This window comes from Homo sapiens, chromosome 21 (genome assembly GCF_000001405.40).
Source record: "Homo sapiens chromosome 21, GRCh38.p14 Primary Assembly".
Classification (NCBI taxonomy): Eukaryota; Metazoa; Chordata; class Mammalia; order Primates; family Hominidae; genus Homo; species Homo sapiens.
In genome coordinates, this window is record NC_000021.9 from 15,970,979 (window position 1) to 15,988,928 (window position 17,950).

Sequence of the window (17,950 nt, forward strand, 5' to 3'; positions counted from 1 at the left end):
CAGAAAAACGTGGAAAGGAGAGATGGGCCTAGCCTCCCAGCCTACGCCTTTCTCCTGTGCTGGATGCTTCCTGCCCTTGAACATCGGACTCCAAATTCTTCAGTTTTGGGACTCAGACTGGCTCTCTTTGCTCCTCAGCTTGTAGACAGCCTATTGTGGGTTTGTGATCGTAAATACTTAATAAACTCCCTTATCTATCTATCTAATGTATCTTATCTATCTATCTATCTATCTATCTATCTATCTATGTATCTAGCCTATTAGTTCTGTCCCTCTAAGAAAACCTTGACTAATACAGCATCATTTTGATTTCTTTTAGAAAGTAGGTAACTTTTTTCCCCCATGTTTTATATTTCTTTCTTTCTATGTATGTTCATGAAAACAATGTCACTTTTATTTTTATGCTAATATTTGTAATCTGTTATTATACTTTGTTTTAGATATAAAAATATGAGGCATTTAGCTGAATCTACTCTGACCCTGAACTTCCTTCTTGAATAAATTCCTCATTTGAACTTAGTTGAACTTCATCTTTTCATCAGTAAATGACAGAATATTTAACTTCGTGATCTGTGAGCAATACATAGTTAACTGAATCAAAGGATGAAACAAACTTTATTAAGCCTGCTTTTTTAGAATCAGAAAATTATGATAGTCACTGTTTTGGTCAGTGTCCTTTGACATTTTATCAGCATTCAGCATGTTATTATTTTAGCAAGAGTAATTGCTTCAATCACCTAATCAACCTCACTAGCTTCATAGTAAAGGAGGTATAAATCATCATCCTGCAAAGGTTTAAGACCTTCTCTGTAAAGAATGTGAGAAGTCAGGTTTCTTTTTAAAAGTATATGCAGTGCCTACATTTCTGTTTTTTGTCTCCTGGGATTACTGTGATTCTGGTATTTCACAGTGCCAGATTTCTGAGTTCTACGTGGATATGTGAAGTCTTACTGCCTAGAAAACTGTGAGCTGCTAGATCATCACCTTAACAGGGAAAAGCTAGTTTCTATGAAACCATTTTCCTCACTTGATCATTTCAATTAGAAAAATGGAAGATCATTCTTTGAAAATAAATATTTTTAGGGGGTTCCATCTTCATTTTCACATTTAGAAAGATAATTGAATGTAATTTTTCATTGCATATTTTACCTGTAAAATTTTTAGTTATTATTATATTTTACTCAGATGGAAACATAATAATACTACAGATAGCATCCAATTTTACTAAATACAAGCACCTTGAAAAGCCAACACCTTTAATGGTACATGAAGGAGTGTGTCAAATTAAAGAAAACAAAACTTTATTATTGTTCTCTTTTTTGTTTTTTACAGCATGCAACCTCAAAGAGAAAAGTTTGAGGAAATCACTTCAAGGACAAAAAATTGCAATGTAAAGAGAATTATTTATCTCCAAATTCCAGATTACCCCCCTGCCCAACCCCTGCCAGCAGCACCGTCCACATGGTTTCTCATTTAGTTTTGTGTTAGTTTAACAAAGTAGACTCTGCAATCTGGATAAAATAGTAAGTCACCTCAGGTAGGTGCCAATAGGATGCTCCTTTGGACATTGCAGATTTTAAGTACTGTCTTTTTATAATACAGGAGGCATGTACAAGTCTGTCATATGTGGAAATGTTGTGAACCCATCATATATACAATGTGCTGTTTTAGAAGATAGATTGTCCATTTAGGTGTGTTATAACAACCTAGATGGGAAGTTACTTTCCGGTGTGTTCAAAGTTCCTTATCTGATTCTGCAGAGGCTGGGATCTGAGCAGGTCACTCTATCTCTGGAGGCCTGTTACTTGATGATAAATACTAATAAACATCTCCCGTCAGACATCTCATCTTTTTGTGGATTCCTGTAGTACTCTTACCCTTTCTACAAACATGTAAATACCATCCATTGATATAATTTTTTTTTTTTTTTCTTTTGAGAGAGAGTCTCCCTCTGTTGCTCAGGCTGGAGTGCAGTGGCACGATTTCGGCTCACTGCAAGCTCTGCCTCCCGGGTTCGCGCCATTCTCCTGCCTCAGCCACCTGGGTAGCTGGGACTACAGGCGCTCGCCACCACGCCTGGCTAATTTTTTGTATTTTTAGTGGAGACGCGGTTTCACCGTGTTAGCCAGGATGGTCTGGATCTCCTGACCTCGCGATCCGCCCGCCTATATAATATTCTTATTTAACCCTTGGTTAATATATTGGCATCAGTTTGTTTTAACAACAATAACATAATTATCCCTAATAATCAGCATTATAAAAGCTATCATAATCGCTTACATAACTACAACTATTATCTAGACAATAATAGGTTAGATTAATAAGAATTCAGTGTTATTCAACACATTGCTAAAATGTTTCCATGTACTTTTATCTTATAAGCTAAATCTTAGGAGCTGTTACTCCTGGAATAGAACAATATTTCATTAATATATTTAAAATTTTAAATTAGTAAACATTTTTCTGAGAGATTCTGATTCTATGGAGAAAAAATAATGTGATCAAGAATTTCTATTGCTGGAAACAAACTAACAAATCATTTAGTTCGAAAGCCCCTCTTACAAATGCAGGAACTGAGCTGATTGACTCTTCATTTAATGATAATACTATTAACAGGTAATGCAGTTTTGAAGGAAAGCACAGGCTGAATACAGAAATCTCTTTCCAAGAGGTGGTGAGTCTTTACGACAATTGAATACGTGTTATTTTTATTCACTAAAATTTGGCTAAGATTGAAAGGGTAAACTTTGTGGGTCTTTCAGGAGATCTTTTACTAAAATAAGTAGGGCCTTAATCACTGCTGAATGAACTTTGTACAGAATGGGCCCACAGGCCTCATCTGTTGTAGCTGGGATTGCTTTGAGAGAAGTGGATTTGTTGAAAAGTGGATGGAAGAACACAGGATTTAGAATTGGCATATTTGACTATAGCTTCTGCATCCACCTATCTCTGCGCTATAGAAATGATTAAAGAGAAGTGGGAAAAATTCATAAACTTTATGATTATTTTTAATTTTAAGGAGGACATGGGACCTTTATTAAAAAAAATATTCCCATATATGAAAGATTCTTATTTCTATAATGGGGAAATGGCGAGACTATGAAAAAAAAAAAACAAATATGTAATTGAACTTTAATGTATAATACCAAAATAAACTATAGGTCACCTTTGGCAGTATATATGTTTAAAAATAATTTCGACGTTTAAAATGCCTTAAGAGAGGACCATTAAGGTCAGATTGAGAAGATAAAAGAATTGATCTTTTAGGGTGCCATTCTACTCTATAGCTCTGTAATTTCTATGGTTATGATGGTTCTCTTTTGTTAAATAAGGACTTATAGAAATTATTTATTTTATCTGTTTGTATTTATTTATTTGCCTGTTGGTACTAGTCAACTGCTTCCCCTTACTTCCCTCCACTTGCTACAACTAATCAAATGTCATATTTTAAGATTATTTACCAAGGTTGCTTTAAATTTTTGTCTCCTTTTTAAAGTGTGAAAATTATTTATTTTAAAGTTAGCATTCATTTCATTATTCCTTCTTTAATAAAGTATTTATTGGCCGGGCACAGTGGCTCACACCTGTAATCCCAGCACTTTGGGAGGCTGAAGCGGGTGGATCACAAGGTCAGGAGTTCGAGACCAGCCTGGCCAACATGGTGAAACCCTGTCTATACTAAAAAAACAAAAATTAGCTGGGTGCAGTGGTGCACCCCTGTAATCCCATCTACGCAGGAGGCTGAGGCAAAATCGCTTGAACTCGGGAGACAGAGGTTGCAGTGAGCCGCGATCACGCCACTGCACTCCAGCCTGGATGACAGAGCGAGATTCTGTCTCCTCCGTCTCAAAAAAAGAAAATAATAAATAAATAAATAAATAAATAAATAAATAAATAAATAAATTCTTTATTGAATGATGGAATTCATGTACTTCCAAAGTTCTGAGAGGCAAAACATGGTGATGGCTGATTCTTTGCCTGTAATATCTTGCTATGTTATCAAAGCAAGTCAAATATATAATTATAATATAGTTTAAGAAGTGCCGTAATAGATGAACAGTACTACTATGGGAATTCTGAAGAAAGGAATGCAAATCGGACAGGGGGAAGAGAAAATGTTTTCTGTTTCTGAATAGCCAGGGATATTTATGACATTGGACTGATAAATGCAGAGATCTCATTCATGCCTCCCTGAGCTAACATGTATGTTTCCCTTACTACTATGCAAACTTCAAGAAGGGAAACGTTTTCTACAGTATCTAGAATAGTTTTTTGCATAGAGTAGACATACATGAAACAATGATACACATTAATTACTTTCTCAGTAAGCTTGATAAAATGGAAGATGCTCAATAACAGTTCAGTTTCTTGTCCCTTGAGAAGTGGTGCATGAATTGTAGCCTGGGTAAGTTTCATGTCTTTGTATGCTTTTGTTTCTTTTTTATGTCTAAATAGTAAATCAGGAGGAATTTCTTGGATATGCTGGTGGTTAAGACTTGATTCTTTGGTTTTAATAATGTTAATATATTGAGGTTTAGTTGTGACTGAATATAAAATTCATTGTTTTTAACTTAAAACTTTAAAATCAAATTGCAGAAGCCTTGGCCAAGGAATAATTGTATAAAATACAGTGTCTGAACTTGCAAGCTGTTCTTTTATCTGATTTGTGAACATTTATTAACATGACCTTATGTATTAGAATGTCCTATACAAACATGTCAAACAATCAAAATTCAAAGCTTTTCATTTTCAAAAGCTGCCTAAAATGCCACTCTCTCTAGACAATCACCCTGGAAGTAATGGTCTCTTCTCTGAACCATCATAATTCTCTGGTTCTTTCAAGAAAGAGTTAAATGCTTTCCAGTAGTTTCTTTCTGATCTTGATTGTTCTCAGGGGTCTCCTCAGAGTTATTTTATATATTTTCCTTGAAATTTTAAAGAGTTATTTGTGGATGAATTCTCATAGAATATATTTAATTATGGAGGTTCTCATTATGCTTCATACATGGGAAGTAATTCTGAAACAAAGAAAGTAAAAGGCCGTAAACTCTCTATGGGCTGCTTTATTAATCAAAGGAGATATAGAATTAACCCATTAGAAGTACTCTACTTTCTCTGAGGGGAACTTCTTTGTTCTGTAGATTGGTATATAAATTGAAATGTAATTATTTGCTCAGTTTTATTAACATATTTAAAAAGTAATTGAATATTTGCAGATGAGAGAGAAAGAAGCAATAAATCAAGCTACTAAGCATTTATTGAACATAGACTTGCTCCTTTAAAAAAATTACATTCCAGTTTATATAATGAGAATGCAGAAATGTTCCCCATCTTTCCAAGTCTTCTTCATCCTTCAGTTTAAAGGAAAGACATCAAGTTGACATTTTGGGAAGATGGAGGCAGTAGCTTACATTTTGATTCTCCCTAAGTGTTTCTATTATGCAAATACAGAGGAAGAAAACCAACTAGAAAGTATGGCAGTTTTCTGAGAATAGCACTCAAAGCTGGATCTCAAATAGCACTCAAATTAGATCTCAGGATCTAATTTGCTGGTTGGTTCATGGAGACCACAGTAAGATATGGATCCTAAGAACTCTCATACTATAAATCAGAAACTCTTATACTATAAAACAGACGCTCTCTTCCAGGTCAAAGCTTTGAAATAGGAGACACTTTTTGGACTAGAATTCATACTGACCAGGATAGTGACAGCAAGCTCAAAGGAAAATGTTGGTCCAGGAGTCAGGAGTTGGCAAACTTTTTCAGTAAAGGTCCATAAAGTAAATTTGCAAGCTCTATTGGGGTCCACATATGGTCTCCTGTATCTCTTTTCTCCCTCTCTCTCTTCTTTCCTTCTCTTTTATTTTTAACTCTTGAAAAGCCTAAAAAATATTCTTAACTTGTGAGCAATGTGAAACAGGCCCAAGGTTCATATTTAGTCCACAGGTTGTAGTTTGCTTGAACTCTGTAGAAATGAAAAAGGGAAGCAGAGGAAGCAGGTCTCAGAAAGTAGGGCTCCACAGAGGGCGCTTTAGAGCCACAAAGTTGGAAATGCTGAAAGGGCTCATCACTCTTTTCTAAAAGGACATGAAAACTTATTTTACTTAAAACAGAGCAATAGAAAAAGGTGAGTCAAGTCTTATACCAATTTAACATTGGGAAAAAAAGAATAAGGAGTACCAGAAATCCTTATAGATTAAAGAATACTTGAGAGACATACTCTCAAAGAAATAAACACTGTAACCTAATATTTGAAAACAAAATATGTTAAGAATATGATAAAAAGTGTGAGTGACCAACGCACATTAGAATAATGAAAACACAGAAATGTACTAAAATACACTACTCTGAAGAAATGTTTGCAAAGTTTTTTTGTGTATATGCACGCATATATAAAATAGGTTTATTGAATGAATGCTGATTTCCATTGTCAAATGTGAGCCTAAAAAATTAACCCTCCCTCTTTATGCTTTTGCATCTAAAAGAGGTTCTCTGGGTTTTATAAAGCATATAATGAGATACTGTCTTAATTCTCTGTCTCTTATCAGGTATTTTGTCTGAGAGAATTTCCTGATTTTTGAAGCCATCTAATAATTGGAGTATGTACTAAACAGATAGGAATTTATTTTGTGAGAAATTTTATTGAACAGGTACATGATAATAGAAATAATGTTTGTAAGTTCAGAAGTTAGAATAAATTAACCCTATTTTCAATAAGCAAATTATATGAGTGAGATGGATATTTTCTTACATTCATTTCTTCATTATTGTTTTGATCGAGTCTCAAAGGATGATTAAATCTGTTGAATTTTATCAAATTTATCATTTATCTGAAAGATGACCTTTTCTAAACTACATAGTGCACTTTATGAATGTGCACCATTCTGGGAGGAGAGGATTTCCACTTTTCTAATATTACACTTCTTGTAATCAATGCTGTTCTCTGGAGGATTTTTGTTTCATGGACTAGATGTTCTTTGTAAATTCTCAACATGACCTAATATAAAAATCAATACATCTTTAGGTAAGTTCATTTCTATTATTAGATCTGGCTGTAGCTTCACGCTAACGTGTTTCGAAATATAAGCAGCTCCCTACCACAGGGCATGGCTTTTTCCCGGTAATGTATTAAATTTCATTATGGTAGAAACCATTACAACAAAAATAAAATCCACTACAGTCTCCCAGCTCTAGCAGATTGCCAGCAATGTGTTTGCTTTAATGTTCTCATTACAATATTTATCTTGATTAAGGCAAAAATGCTTTTGTCCAGGTCGTATCTCTATTAGTGATCTCTCTCCACAACAACAGAACATGGGGTTCCTGGCTTAGCAAGGACTGAAGGAAACACTTTACCGTGACACTTGAGTGAGGACAGACAGGTAAACGACTGGGAGCTTAGAGCAGAAGGAAGGAAAGCCATGCACACAGCACTAGTTACAAGATAGATTAGCATGAACAATGTATTTCACAGACTAAGAAAATGATGATTAATTCTACATTTGGCCTATTCTTGAAGAAACTTGCCCAAATTGAACAAAAGGTGCCAAAAGAAGCCCTGGGGACATTTGAGGTCTGCTTTATTTTATTCCCTTTTTGACCAGGGAGGTGATTAAGTAAGCTCCAACTTGGTTTTTTTAGCCATCATTAGAGCATTCCAGCACAAGGAAAGAATTTAGAGGCTCTTTGAAGTGGTTGTAGAAAGATTTGCATTGAACTATACTCCTCCTAGAATTGAGAGTATTTGGAATACTTTAGTGACTGAGGTTTCTATTCATCTTACTCTTCCATCAGAGCACAACTTTTTGTAATTCTTATGTGTATTTGGATGTGTGTGGCTTTTTATTGGTCACCCACATTTTTCATTATCTATTAAAAATCTCATTCATATTCTAGCTTCTTAATGATGTGTTTGATTGAAATAGTCAGGCTATGTTTTTTCAAGTTTAGCATAGTGAAAAGAGAGATACTTTTGAAGCAAAATTATTATGCATATGCAAGGGAGCTGTGAGTCAGCAAGTTAGCAGAAATTATTGGGGCCTGATCACAATGGCGGTGTGAGAGGTGTTCTCCAGGTGAGTTGGAAAGGGGCAAAAGGGCAGTTATAGGACACGATGGAGAAAATCAATCTTCAAAGCTTCATGATAAAATTTCAATATTTAGTTTGAATTATTTCCAGAATAATAGACGTGCTCAAAATAACGACACTAAAAATAGTCTTTAAAGACATGTAATTCTTGGATTGTCTGCAAGTTGGGTTAATAAGAACTGTTGTGTCCTTTGATAAGCACTGATAATTTTATTCCATTGTTTAATCTAATTCTCATGTTGGTGTCCCATCATTAAGATTTTGTAACATCACCTTGAATCTTAAAAGCAAAAGTATTCAAGATGGGTCTTAAAATTCCATTGCTGTGTGCCATGAGCATTTTTTTTGACATTTCATGTTCTATGATGCTTAAGGGGAAAACATCATGAAAATCATTACCCTAATATTATTATCCAACATGGCTGCTCACAGGTTAGGAGGAAAAGCTCCAGGATTGTTGCAAGGGGATGGGGACTTACCTAGTGAAGAAGTAGACTAAAAGTTGAGAGTTGTTTTTTTAATCTCTTAAAGAGTTCTTTTTTTCACTCGCGTCCACGTGAAAAGACCGCTGAACAGGCTTTGTGTGAGCAACAAGGCTGTTTATTTCACCTGGGTGCAGGCGGGCTGAGTCCGACAAGAGTGTCAGTGAAGGGAGACAGGGGTGGGGCCATTTTATAAGATTTGCATAGGTAAAGGAAATTACAGTCAAAGAGGGGTTGTTCTCTGGTGGGCAGGAGTGGGGGTCACAAGGTGGTCATTGGGGGAGCTTTTTGAGCCAGGATGAGCCAGGAGAAGGAATTTCACAAGGTAATGTCATCAGTTAAGGCAAGGACTGGCCATTTTCACTTGTTTTGTGGTGGAATGTCATCAGTTAAGGCAGGAACAGGCCATTTAAATTTCACTTCTTTTGTGATTCTTCAGTTACTTCAGGCCATTTGCATGTATACGTGCAGGTCACAGGGGATATGATGGCTTAGCTGGGGCTCAGAGGCCTGACATTCCTGTCTTCTTATATTAATAAGAAAAATTAAAATAGTGTTGAAGTGTTGGGGTGGCGAAAATTTTTGGGGGTGCTTTGGAGAGATAACAGGCGATGTTTCTCAGGGCTGCTTCGAGCGGGATTAGGGGTGGTGTGGGAACCTAGACTGGGAGAGATTAAGCTGAAGGAAGATTTTGTGGTAAGGGGTGATATTGTGGGGTTGTTAGAAGAAACATTTGTTGTATAGAATTATTGGTGATGGCCTGGATATGGTTTCGTATGAATTGAAAAAAGAACGGAATAAGACAATGAGAAAAACAGGTAGTAAAGGACTAAGAATTCGGAGGACCTAGAACATCCAATTAGAGAGTGTCTAAGGAGGTTCAGCATAGCCCTGCCAGCAAAGATTATTTATTTACTTTAAGAGGGAGTTAAGAGTGGTGGTTTGGGGATAGCACCAGGAGATACCAGCTGTGATGGCTTGGAGAAACAGTGTAAACCGGCAGTGTAAACAAAAGCAGGGCATTTATGAGTAGTTGAGAAAGGTGAATAGGAGTATGACTAGACAGAAGATAGTAGGGATGACAAGTTTTTTTTTGGGGGGCTCAGTCCAAGTTGGTCTGGTGTCTGGAATGAGACTGGGGCCTAATAAAAAGGAGCGTCTATACAGGAGCTCAAATGGGCTGTACCTTGTAGCATTCTGAGGACAGGCCTGAATTCTGAGAAGGGCAAGTGGTAAAAGTATTGTCCAGTCTCTTTTAATTGATGGCTGAGCATGGTGAGGTGTGTTTTAAAAAGACCATTAGTTTACTGAATACTAAGAACCTGAGAAACTACTTGGGTGATTTGACTAATAAAGGCCGGTCTGCTATCGGACTGTATAGAGGTGGGAAGGCCAAACTGAGGAATTATGTCTGACAGAAGGGAAGAAATGACCGTGGTGGCCTTCTCAGACCCTGTGGGAAAGGCCTCTACCTATCCAGTGAAAGTGTCTACCTAGACCAAGAGGTATTTTAGTTTCCTGACTCAGGGCATGTTGAGTAAAGCTAATTTGCCAGTCCTGGGCAGGGGCAAATCCCCGAGCTTGATGTGTAGGGAAGGGAGGGGGCCTGAATAATCCCTGAAGAGTAGTAGAATAGCAGATAGAACACTGAGAAGTTATTTCCTTGAGGATAGATTTACACAATGGAAAGGAAATGAGAGGTTATAAGAGGCGGGCTAGTGGCTTGTACTATAGCATAGCCTACCTTTGCTGGTGTGTGGCAATTAGGCCTGGTGGAACTGCCATCAATAAACCAAGTGTGATCAGGGTGAGGAACAGGAAAGAAGGAAATATGGGAAAATGGGGGTGAATGTCAGATGTATCAGAGAGATACAGTCAGGAGGGTCAGGTGTGGTATCAGGAATAATGTGGGAGGCTGGATTGAAGTCTGGGCCAGGAACAATGGTAATTGTGGGAGACTCAACAAAGAGTGAGTACAGCTGAAGGAGTCGGGGAGCAGAAAGTATATGTGTGAGGTGTGAGGAAGAAAACAGATTTTGGAAGTTATGAGAACTGTAGAGAGTGAGTTGAGCATAGTTTGTGATTTTGAGGGACTCTAAAAGTATTAGGGCAGCGGCGGCTGCCGCACGCAGACTTGAGGGCTAGGCTAAAACAGTAAGGTCAAGTTGTTTGGATAAAAAGGCTACAGGGCACGGTCCCAGTCCTTGTGTAAGAGTTCTGACTGCATAGCCCTGCACTTCGGCTGTGGGTAATGAAAAGGGTTGGGATGAGTCAGGGAGAGCTGGGGTGGGGGCAGTCTCTAAAGCTGTCTTCAAGGAATGGAAAGAGAAGTGGGGAAAGGAATTAGGATCTATGGGGTCAGCTAGGTTTCCTTTTGTGAGTTTATATAATGGTTTTGTTAGGATGGCAAAACCAGATATCTAAAGTATCCAACCACGCCTAGGAAGGAAAGGAGTTGTTGTTTTTTAGAAGGTGTTGGGGTTTGAGAGATCAGTGGGACATGATCGGCAGGGAGAGCACGTGTGTTTTTATGAGAATTATGCTGAGATAGGTAACAGATAAGGAAGAAATTTGGGCTTGACTGAAGTAATGGGAGCTGTCTGTGAAGCCTTGTGGCAGTACAGCCCAGGTAATTTGCTGAGCCTGATGGGTGTCAGGGTCAGTCCAAGTGAAAGCGAAGAGAGGCTGGGATGAAGGGTGCAAAGGAATAGTAAAGAAAGCATGTTTGAGATCCAGAACAGAATAATGGGTTGTGGAGGGAGGTATTGAGGATAGGAGAGTATATGGGTTTGGCACCATTGGGTGGATAGGCAAAACAATTTGGTTGATAAGTTGCAGATCCTGAACTAACCTGTAAGCCTTGTCTGGATTTAGAACAGTAAAATAGGGGAATTGTAAGGGGAGTTTACAGGCTTTAAAAGGCCATGCTGTAGCAGGCGAGTGATAACAGTCTTTAATCCTTTTAAAGCATGGTGTGGGATGGGATATTGGTATTGAGTGGGGTAAGGGTGATTAGGTTTTAATGGGATGGTAAGGGGTGCATCATTTGTCACCAAGGAGGGAGTAGAGGTGTCCTATACTTATGGGTTAAGGTGGGGAGATAGAAGGGGATGATGTGAAGGAGGCTTTGAACTGGGGGAAAAGGCAGCAATGAGGTGTGGCTGTAGCCCAGGAATAGTCAGGGAAGCAGATAATTTAGTTGAAGTGTCTCGGCCTAATAAGGGAACTGGGCAGGTGGGGATAATTAAAAGGAGTGCTTAAAAGAGTATTGTCTAAGTTGGCACCAAAGTTGGGGAGTTTTAAGAGGTTTAGAAGCCTGGCCGCCAATACCTACAACAGTTATGGAGGCAAGGGAAACAGGCCCTTGAAAAGAAGGTAATGTGGAGTGGGTAGCCTCCGTATTGATTAAGAAGGGGACGGACTTACCTTCCACTGTGAGAGTTACCTAGAGCATCTGTGATGGTCCTGTAGGCTTCTGAGGCAATCAGGCAGTGTCAGTCTTCAGCTGCTAAGCTGAGAAGATCAGGGAAGGAGTCAGTCAGAGAGCCTTGGGCCAGAGTTCCAGGGGCTCTGGAAGTGGCTGCCAGGTGAGTTGAACAGTCTGATTTTCAGTGGGGTCCTGCACAGATGGGACACAGCTTGGGAGGAATCCTGGGCTGTGGGCATTCCTTGGCCCAGTGGCCAGATTTCTGGCACTTGTAGCAAGCTCCTGGGGGAGGAGGTTCTGGAGGAACCCCTGGAAGCTGTGGTTCAGGCGTTTGGAGTTCTTGTGTGCTGGAGATGTGGCTGGGGTTTGTCTCACAGTGGAGGCAAGGAATTACAACTCAGAAATACATTGCTACTTGGCTGCCTCTACTCTATTATTGTACACCTTGAAGGGAGGTTAATTAACTCTTGTTGTGGGGTTTGAGGGCTGGAATTTAATTTTTGGAGTTTTATTTAATGTCGGGAGCAGATTGGGTAATAAAATGTGTATTAAGAATAAGACGGCCTTTTGACCTTTTAGGGTCTAGGGCTGTAAAGTGTCTCAGGGTTGCTGCCAAACGAGTCATGAACTGGGCTGGATTTTTATATTTTATGAAAAAGAGCCTAAATGCTATCTGATTTGGGATAAAGAAAAAGGAGCATTAACCTTGACTATGCCTTTAGCTCCAGCCACCTTCTTAAGAGGAAATTGCTGGGCAGGTCGGGGAGGGCTAGTCTCGGAACGAAACTGTAAGCCAGACCGGTGTGAGGAGGGGAGGTGATAAAAGGATTATAGGGTAGGGGAGCGGAGGCTGAGGAAGAATTGGGACCTAGCTCAGCCTGGCGAGGAGCAGCCTGGGGAGGAGGGGAGAGGTCAGATGGGTCTGTAGAAAAGGAAGACTGGAAAGAGGAAAGACTCAGCGACGCTTGGGGTTGGGACTGAGGGGACAGATGGGAGGGAAAGAAGGAAAATTTGGACAAGTTGCATTGGGAACAGAGACTAGGGAGGGACCCATGTGTAAAAGAATGCCTGGACATCAGGCACCTCAGACCAGACCGTTTGCCTATTTTATGACAAGAATTATTTAGATCTTATAGGATGGAAAAATCAAAAATGCCATTTTCTGGCTATTTGGAACCACTGTCGAGTTTGTACTGGGGTCAGGCAGCATTGCAGAAGAAAATAAGGCGTTTAGGTTTTAGGTCAGGTGTGAGTTGAAGAGGTTTTAAGTCTTTGAGAACACAGGCTAAGGGAGAAGGAGGAATGGAGGGTGGAAGGTTGCCTATAGTGAAGAAGGCAAGTCCAGAGAAAAGAGAGGGTAGAGACATGGAGAGAAGGGGTGGGAGGTGCTTGCCCCCCAGGAAAGTGGAGAAGGGGTAGAGACATGGAGAGAAAGGGTTGAGGGGTTCTTGCACCCTAGAAAAGCGGTACTTGCCGCAAAGGGTGAAGGACCAAGGCAGGCGTCCCGGCGTGGTCAGACACCTTTGAAATGTGGGTGAATGATCAGGCAGGCATCCCTGCGTGATTAAACACAAAGGAAAGACTGTCTTCCCGAGTCTGTGAATGGTGCTGGAGTTTTGGGTCCACAGATAAAACGCATCTCCTGTCTTTACGAGAAAAGGAAAGAAACTGAAATTAAGAGAAGGGAGAGATTGAAGTGTGGCGCCAAGATTGAAAGGAGAAAGAGATTGAGGGATAGTGAGAGAGGATGGAGAAGAGAGTAAAAAGAGGCCACTTACCTGATTTAAAATTGGTGTGATGTTCCTTGGACTGGTTGGTCTGAGGACCCGAGGTCATAGGTGGATCTTTCTCATGGAGCAAAGAGCAGGAGGACAGGGGATTGATCTCCCAAGGGAGGTCCCCCAATCCGAGTGACAGCAGCAAATTTCACTCGTGTCCGTGTGAAGAGACCACCAAGCAGGCTTTGTGTGAGCAACAAGGCTGTTTATTTCACCTGGGTGCAGACGGGCTGAGTCTGAAAAGAAAGTCAGCCAAGGGAGATAGGGATGGGGCCATTTAATAAGATTTGGGTAGGTAAAGGAAAATTACAGTCAAAGGAGGTTGTTCTCTGGAGGGCAGGGGTGGGGGTCACAGGGTGCTCAGTGGGGGAGATTTTTGAGCCAGGATGAGCCAGGAGAAGGAATTTCACAAGGTAATGTCATCAGTTAAGGCAAGGACTGGCCATTTTCACTTGTTTTGTGGTGGAATGTCATCACTTAAGGCAGGAACAGGCCATTTAAGTTTCACTTTTTTTTGTGATTCTTCAATTACGTCAGGCCATTTGCATGTATACGTGCAGGTTACAGGGGATATGATGGCTTAGCTTGGGCTCAGAGGCCGGACACTTTTGTATAAAGCTTATTTTTCTGAGGAGTGGTGAAGATTGTAATGATGGTCCCTTCTTGTACTCTTCCCCAGTTTTGCATGACAATTGGCTAGCAAATTTGTCAATATGGTGCAATTAGTCTTGATCCTCATGAACAAATAAATGAGAAATAAAAAAGAATATTGAAATATAAATCCATAGACCATGCAAAACTGAGAACTATGGCCCATCCAGTGAGAGACCTAGATGCTACAGGACAGATGACAGTAGCTACCTAGTTGAGGGAAACTTCTATTCTGTGGAAAGAAAGTAAGAGTAGCCTTTAGGTGCCCAGTGATATTAATCCTAATCTGCCAATTACCAGTGACATGACCTTGAGAAAGACCCCCAAGTTTTCTGGATCTTCATTACATAAATGGCAAAAAAAAAAAAAAAAAGGATTTCTCAGATGACATTTCATTATAACACTCTGTGAATGGTTTTTATTAATTATATTCTTATAAGGTTTGTATATTTTGGTTTATAAGGAAAGATCTCATTTTTATGTTATGCAATTAACCTAAGGAAATACATAAAGAAAGGAAGACACAGCCATAAACAGTTCTGAAGGGTCATTTCTGTACGTGTCTCTTCTGGATTCTTTATAGATATATTTAAGAGAACAAAAAGAAAAGATCAAGAAGAAAACAAAGACCAATGTTATTTAGTTACACATCTTTCAGTGTCAAAGAATTATTTGACATCTTGAAGATATTTTTCGCTAGGATTCTTGATTGGTCAGAGAATGTTGTTAAATACAAGATTTTTCTGGGAAAAGAATGACTTTTATGATAATCAATGTTCTTTGTTCAATTCCTGGACAAAAATCTTAGCCCTTCAATAACGGGCTTTTCTAATTCTGTTTTGTAATTGCAGTAAAGCGTCTTGGAGGATTTATCTCTAGTGATACAGGCCAGCAGTATGTGGCCTTTTCTTGAACCCGTCAGAACTGTGACTTTTCTTTGAACTCTTGGCTGCTTGGTGCTACTGACCTTGTTGCTCATTTATAACTTGGGTGCCATTTATCACTCCCAGACTTACAGATATTGTTGTGGAAAGAGACTGAATGCAATCATTCATGCCATTGCCTCTTTCTGGTGGTGCCTTCCAGCTTCCTTCCTTACAGGATAACTGATAGGGAGAGATTAGTGACAAAGCTGTAATTCTATTGAGGGATTGTGATGTAACTGTATCATAAACCATGAAGTGAGACTCCAGAGATTTGAGATCACCAGAATGCTGAGATTAAGTTACAGCAGCCACAGTCAATCTCTGTCAATATGTGTTTTGTGAGGGTTTGTAATCTGCCTGTAAAATACTAGCTACCTGTAGAAAATTCCTCTTTTTATAGTATTGACTTTATATAATTTCTGCAATTTCAGAGCTTAAAAGAAATATTGATTTTTATTTTTACAAATACATACAGACATTTTAAAGACCATTAAGAAAGCTTGCTCTGAGTTGGTAATGTATGTTTTAATTCTGTGAAACTTTTTGTTGGTTTCTCATATGCCACTTGAAATATTTAGGTTTTAATATTTTGAAATGAAATCTTTTATGTATGTATAAAATTTTAAAAACTAATTTATTGAGGTGAAATCTACATAATAAACGATTTTAAAGTAACAATTTAATGGCATTTCATGCATTCACAATGTAGTAGAACCATCACCCCATCTAGCTCCTAAACATTTCCATCACCCCAAGTTAAAACCTTGTACCCATTCAGCAGTTTCTTCCCACTTGTCCCTCTTCCTCATCCCATGTGTGAAATTTTCAAATTAAAAATAAATGAATTGACTTGATATTTTCTTTACTTAACACTTAAAAGGAATTAAAGACATTATGTTTGATTAATCGTTTCAGTAAACTTATGCCTCTAGCCACATTTTCATAAGCCATTTGTGGGGTGGGGCTTGACCAAGTAATACAAGTCTTTGGAGGTTTTAATAGATATGATGTATTACCTTTGCCAAAGAAACTGGAGATGCTAATATAAACAGATTTCCTTACTGGAGGATTTTTTGTAGAAACCTTTCATGTGTCAATGAACTCTCCTTCTCTCAAGTCTACAGCCACAGTGTACAGCACTTCCTGAATTAATTGCCTCTTTTTTCTGGAGTATTCTGAGTCTACTGCTAAGACTCATTCAATGTAAAAAAAAAATAATAATAATCTAGGCCTAATTATGATATTGTTGGAGGATAGTACCAGGAAATAGGAGCTTTTTACTAAAGGGATTTAAGAAATCTGAATCTGACTTTTAAAACTAGTATTCACATTATATTCTTTGTTAAAAAGAGCAAAAGTCCTGAGATACAGGGTTTCTGAAATTTCATCTAGTAAATTAAAATAGTGGTTAATATTTTGTTTTTTTAATTTTGTTTTATATTATTTTATTTTATTTTTAGAGATAGGGTCTTGCGTGGTTGTGGTTAACATTTAAAAAACTTTCATACATTATCTACATTTCTATCAGTAACCCTGAAAGCCAGGATTATTGTCCCAACTTTATGGATGGATAAACTGAAGTGCATGAGTAAATTAACTAACTACATCAAAATATCTTCCTCTAGGGTTAAATGATTTGCCCAATATCCATCCCACAGTTCTAAATGGTGGAGTAATGATGTGGATTCAGATGCCTGTGCCTCCAAATCCTGCAGTCTTTCTTTGTACCCTGCAGCACTGCTGTGTAAGCATGAGTTTGGACTCTAGTTTTCTGGGACTTCGTTTTCATATTTATAAAAATGAAGAAACTGAATCTTCTCTAAGGTCTCTTCCAGGTTTGAAATTATATCACTTAAACCCTGTACTATTTCCTAGTCTGTTTAGAGGCTTTAGAGAAAAAAAAAAATTCATATATCAAGAATCCCAAGATCTCAATAAAAAGGTTAAACTACATTCTTGAATAAGTGAACAATTACAACAGCTGACCTTTATGTAAACCTCCCAGAACTCAGAGTGAATTATAGAATCAAAGGAGGAATTCTGCTCCATTTTTATAAATATAGTTAAGACCAACATAAATACATGACTTGGCTTAAACACTAGGAATTCTTAGACATAGGTTGAACTTGCAAAGAAGGTATGTGTGTGTTAGCCTCTGCCTGGCCATCCTTTATCAGATAAAGAGTTAATACTGGAGCCTAGGCCTGTGTTCAGGTGGGAGGGGAATATTAATATAAATCTACCACCTTTAGAACAGCACAGTTGTTATTTTATTAGAGGAAAAGGTGAGAGTGAATAGATGTGGTCAAATGGATTTTGTTATTTTTTCCTTTCCTACCAATAAAATATATATTTTTTCTGTTTATAAAGACCAGGCTTTTTTCCTCTTTTTTAAAAAACCTACATCTCAATTCCCAAATTTTCCTTCTTTCTGATTGTGGTAAACCCTGTTAAAATCACTGTATCATATACATATTACCACCTATGAAAAAGATTTTATAGCTTTATTTTCTGTGGTTTGTATTATTTATTCCTATGGAACTATGAAATACTTTTTGTGTGCTTTGGAAAATTTCAAATCTCATACTAAATACGGT

General features: G+C 38.3%; 1 annotated feature.

The window, feature by feature from the left end:
* Nucleotides 13,981-14,482: an enhancer, noted in NCBI's record as "NANOG hESC enhancer chr21:17357279-17357780 (GRCh37/hg19 assembly coordinates)". NCBI's record gives its function as "activates a minimal SCP1, AML or CMV promoter by ChIP-STARR-seq in naive H9 embryonic stem cells {active_cell/tissue: H9 hESC(naive)}" and the evidence as "EXISTENCE:reporter gene assay evidence [ECO:0000049][PMID:30033119]".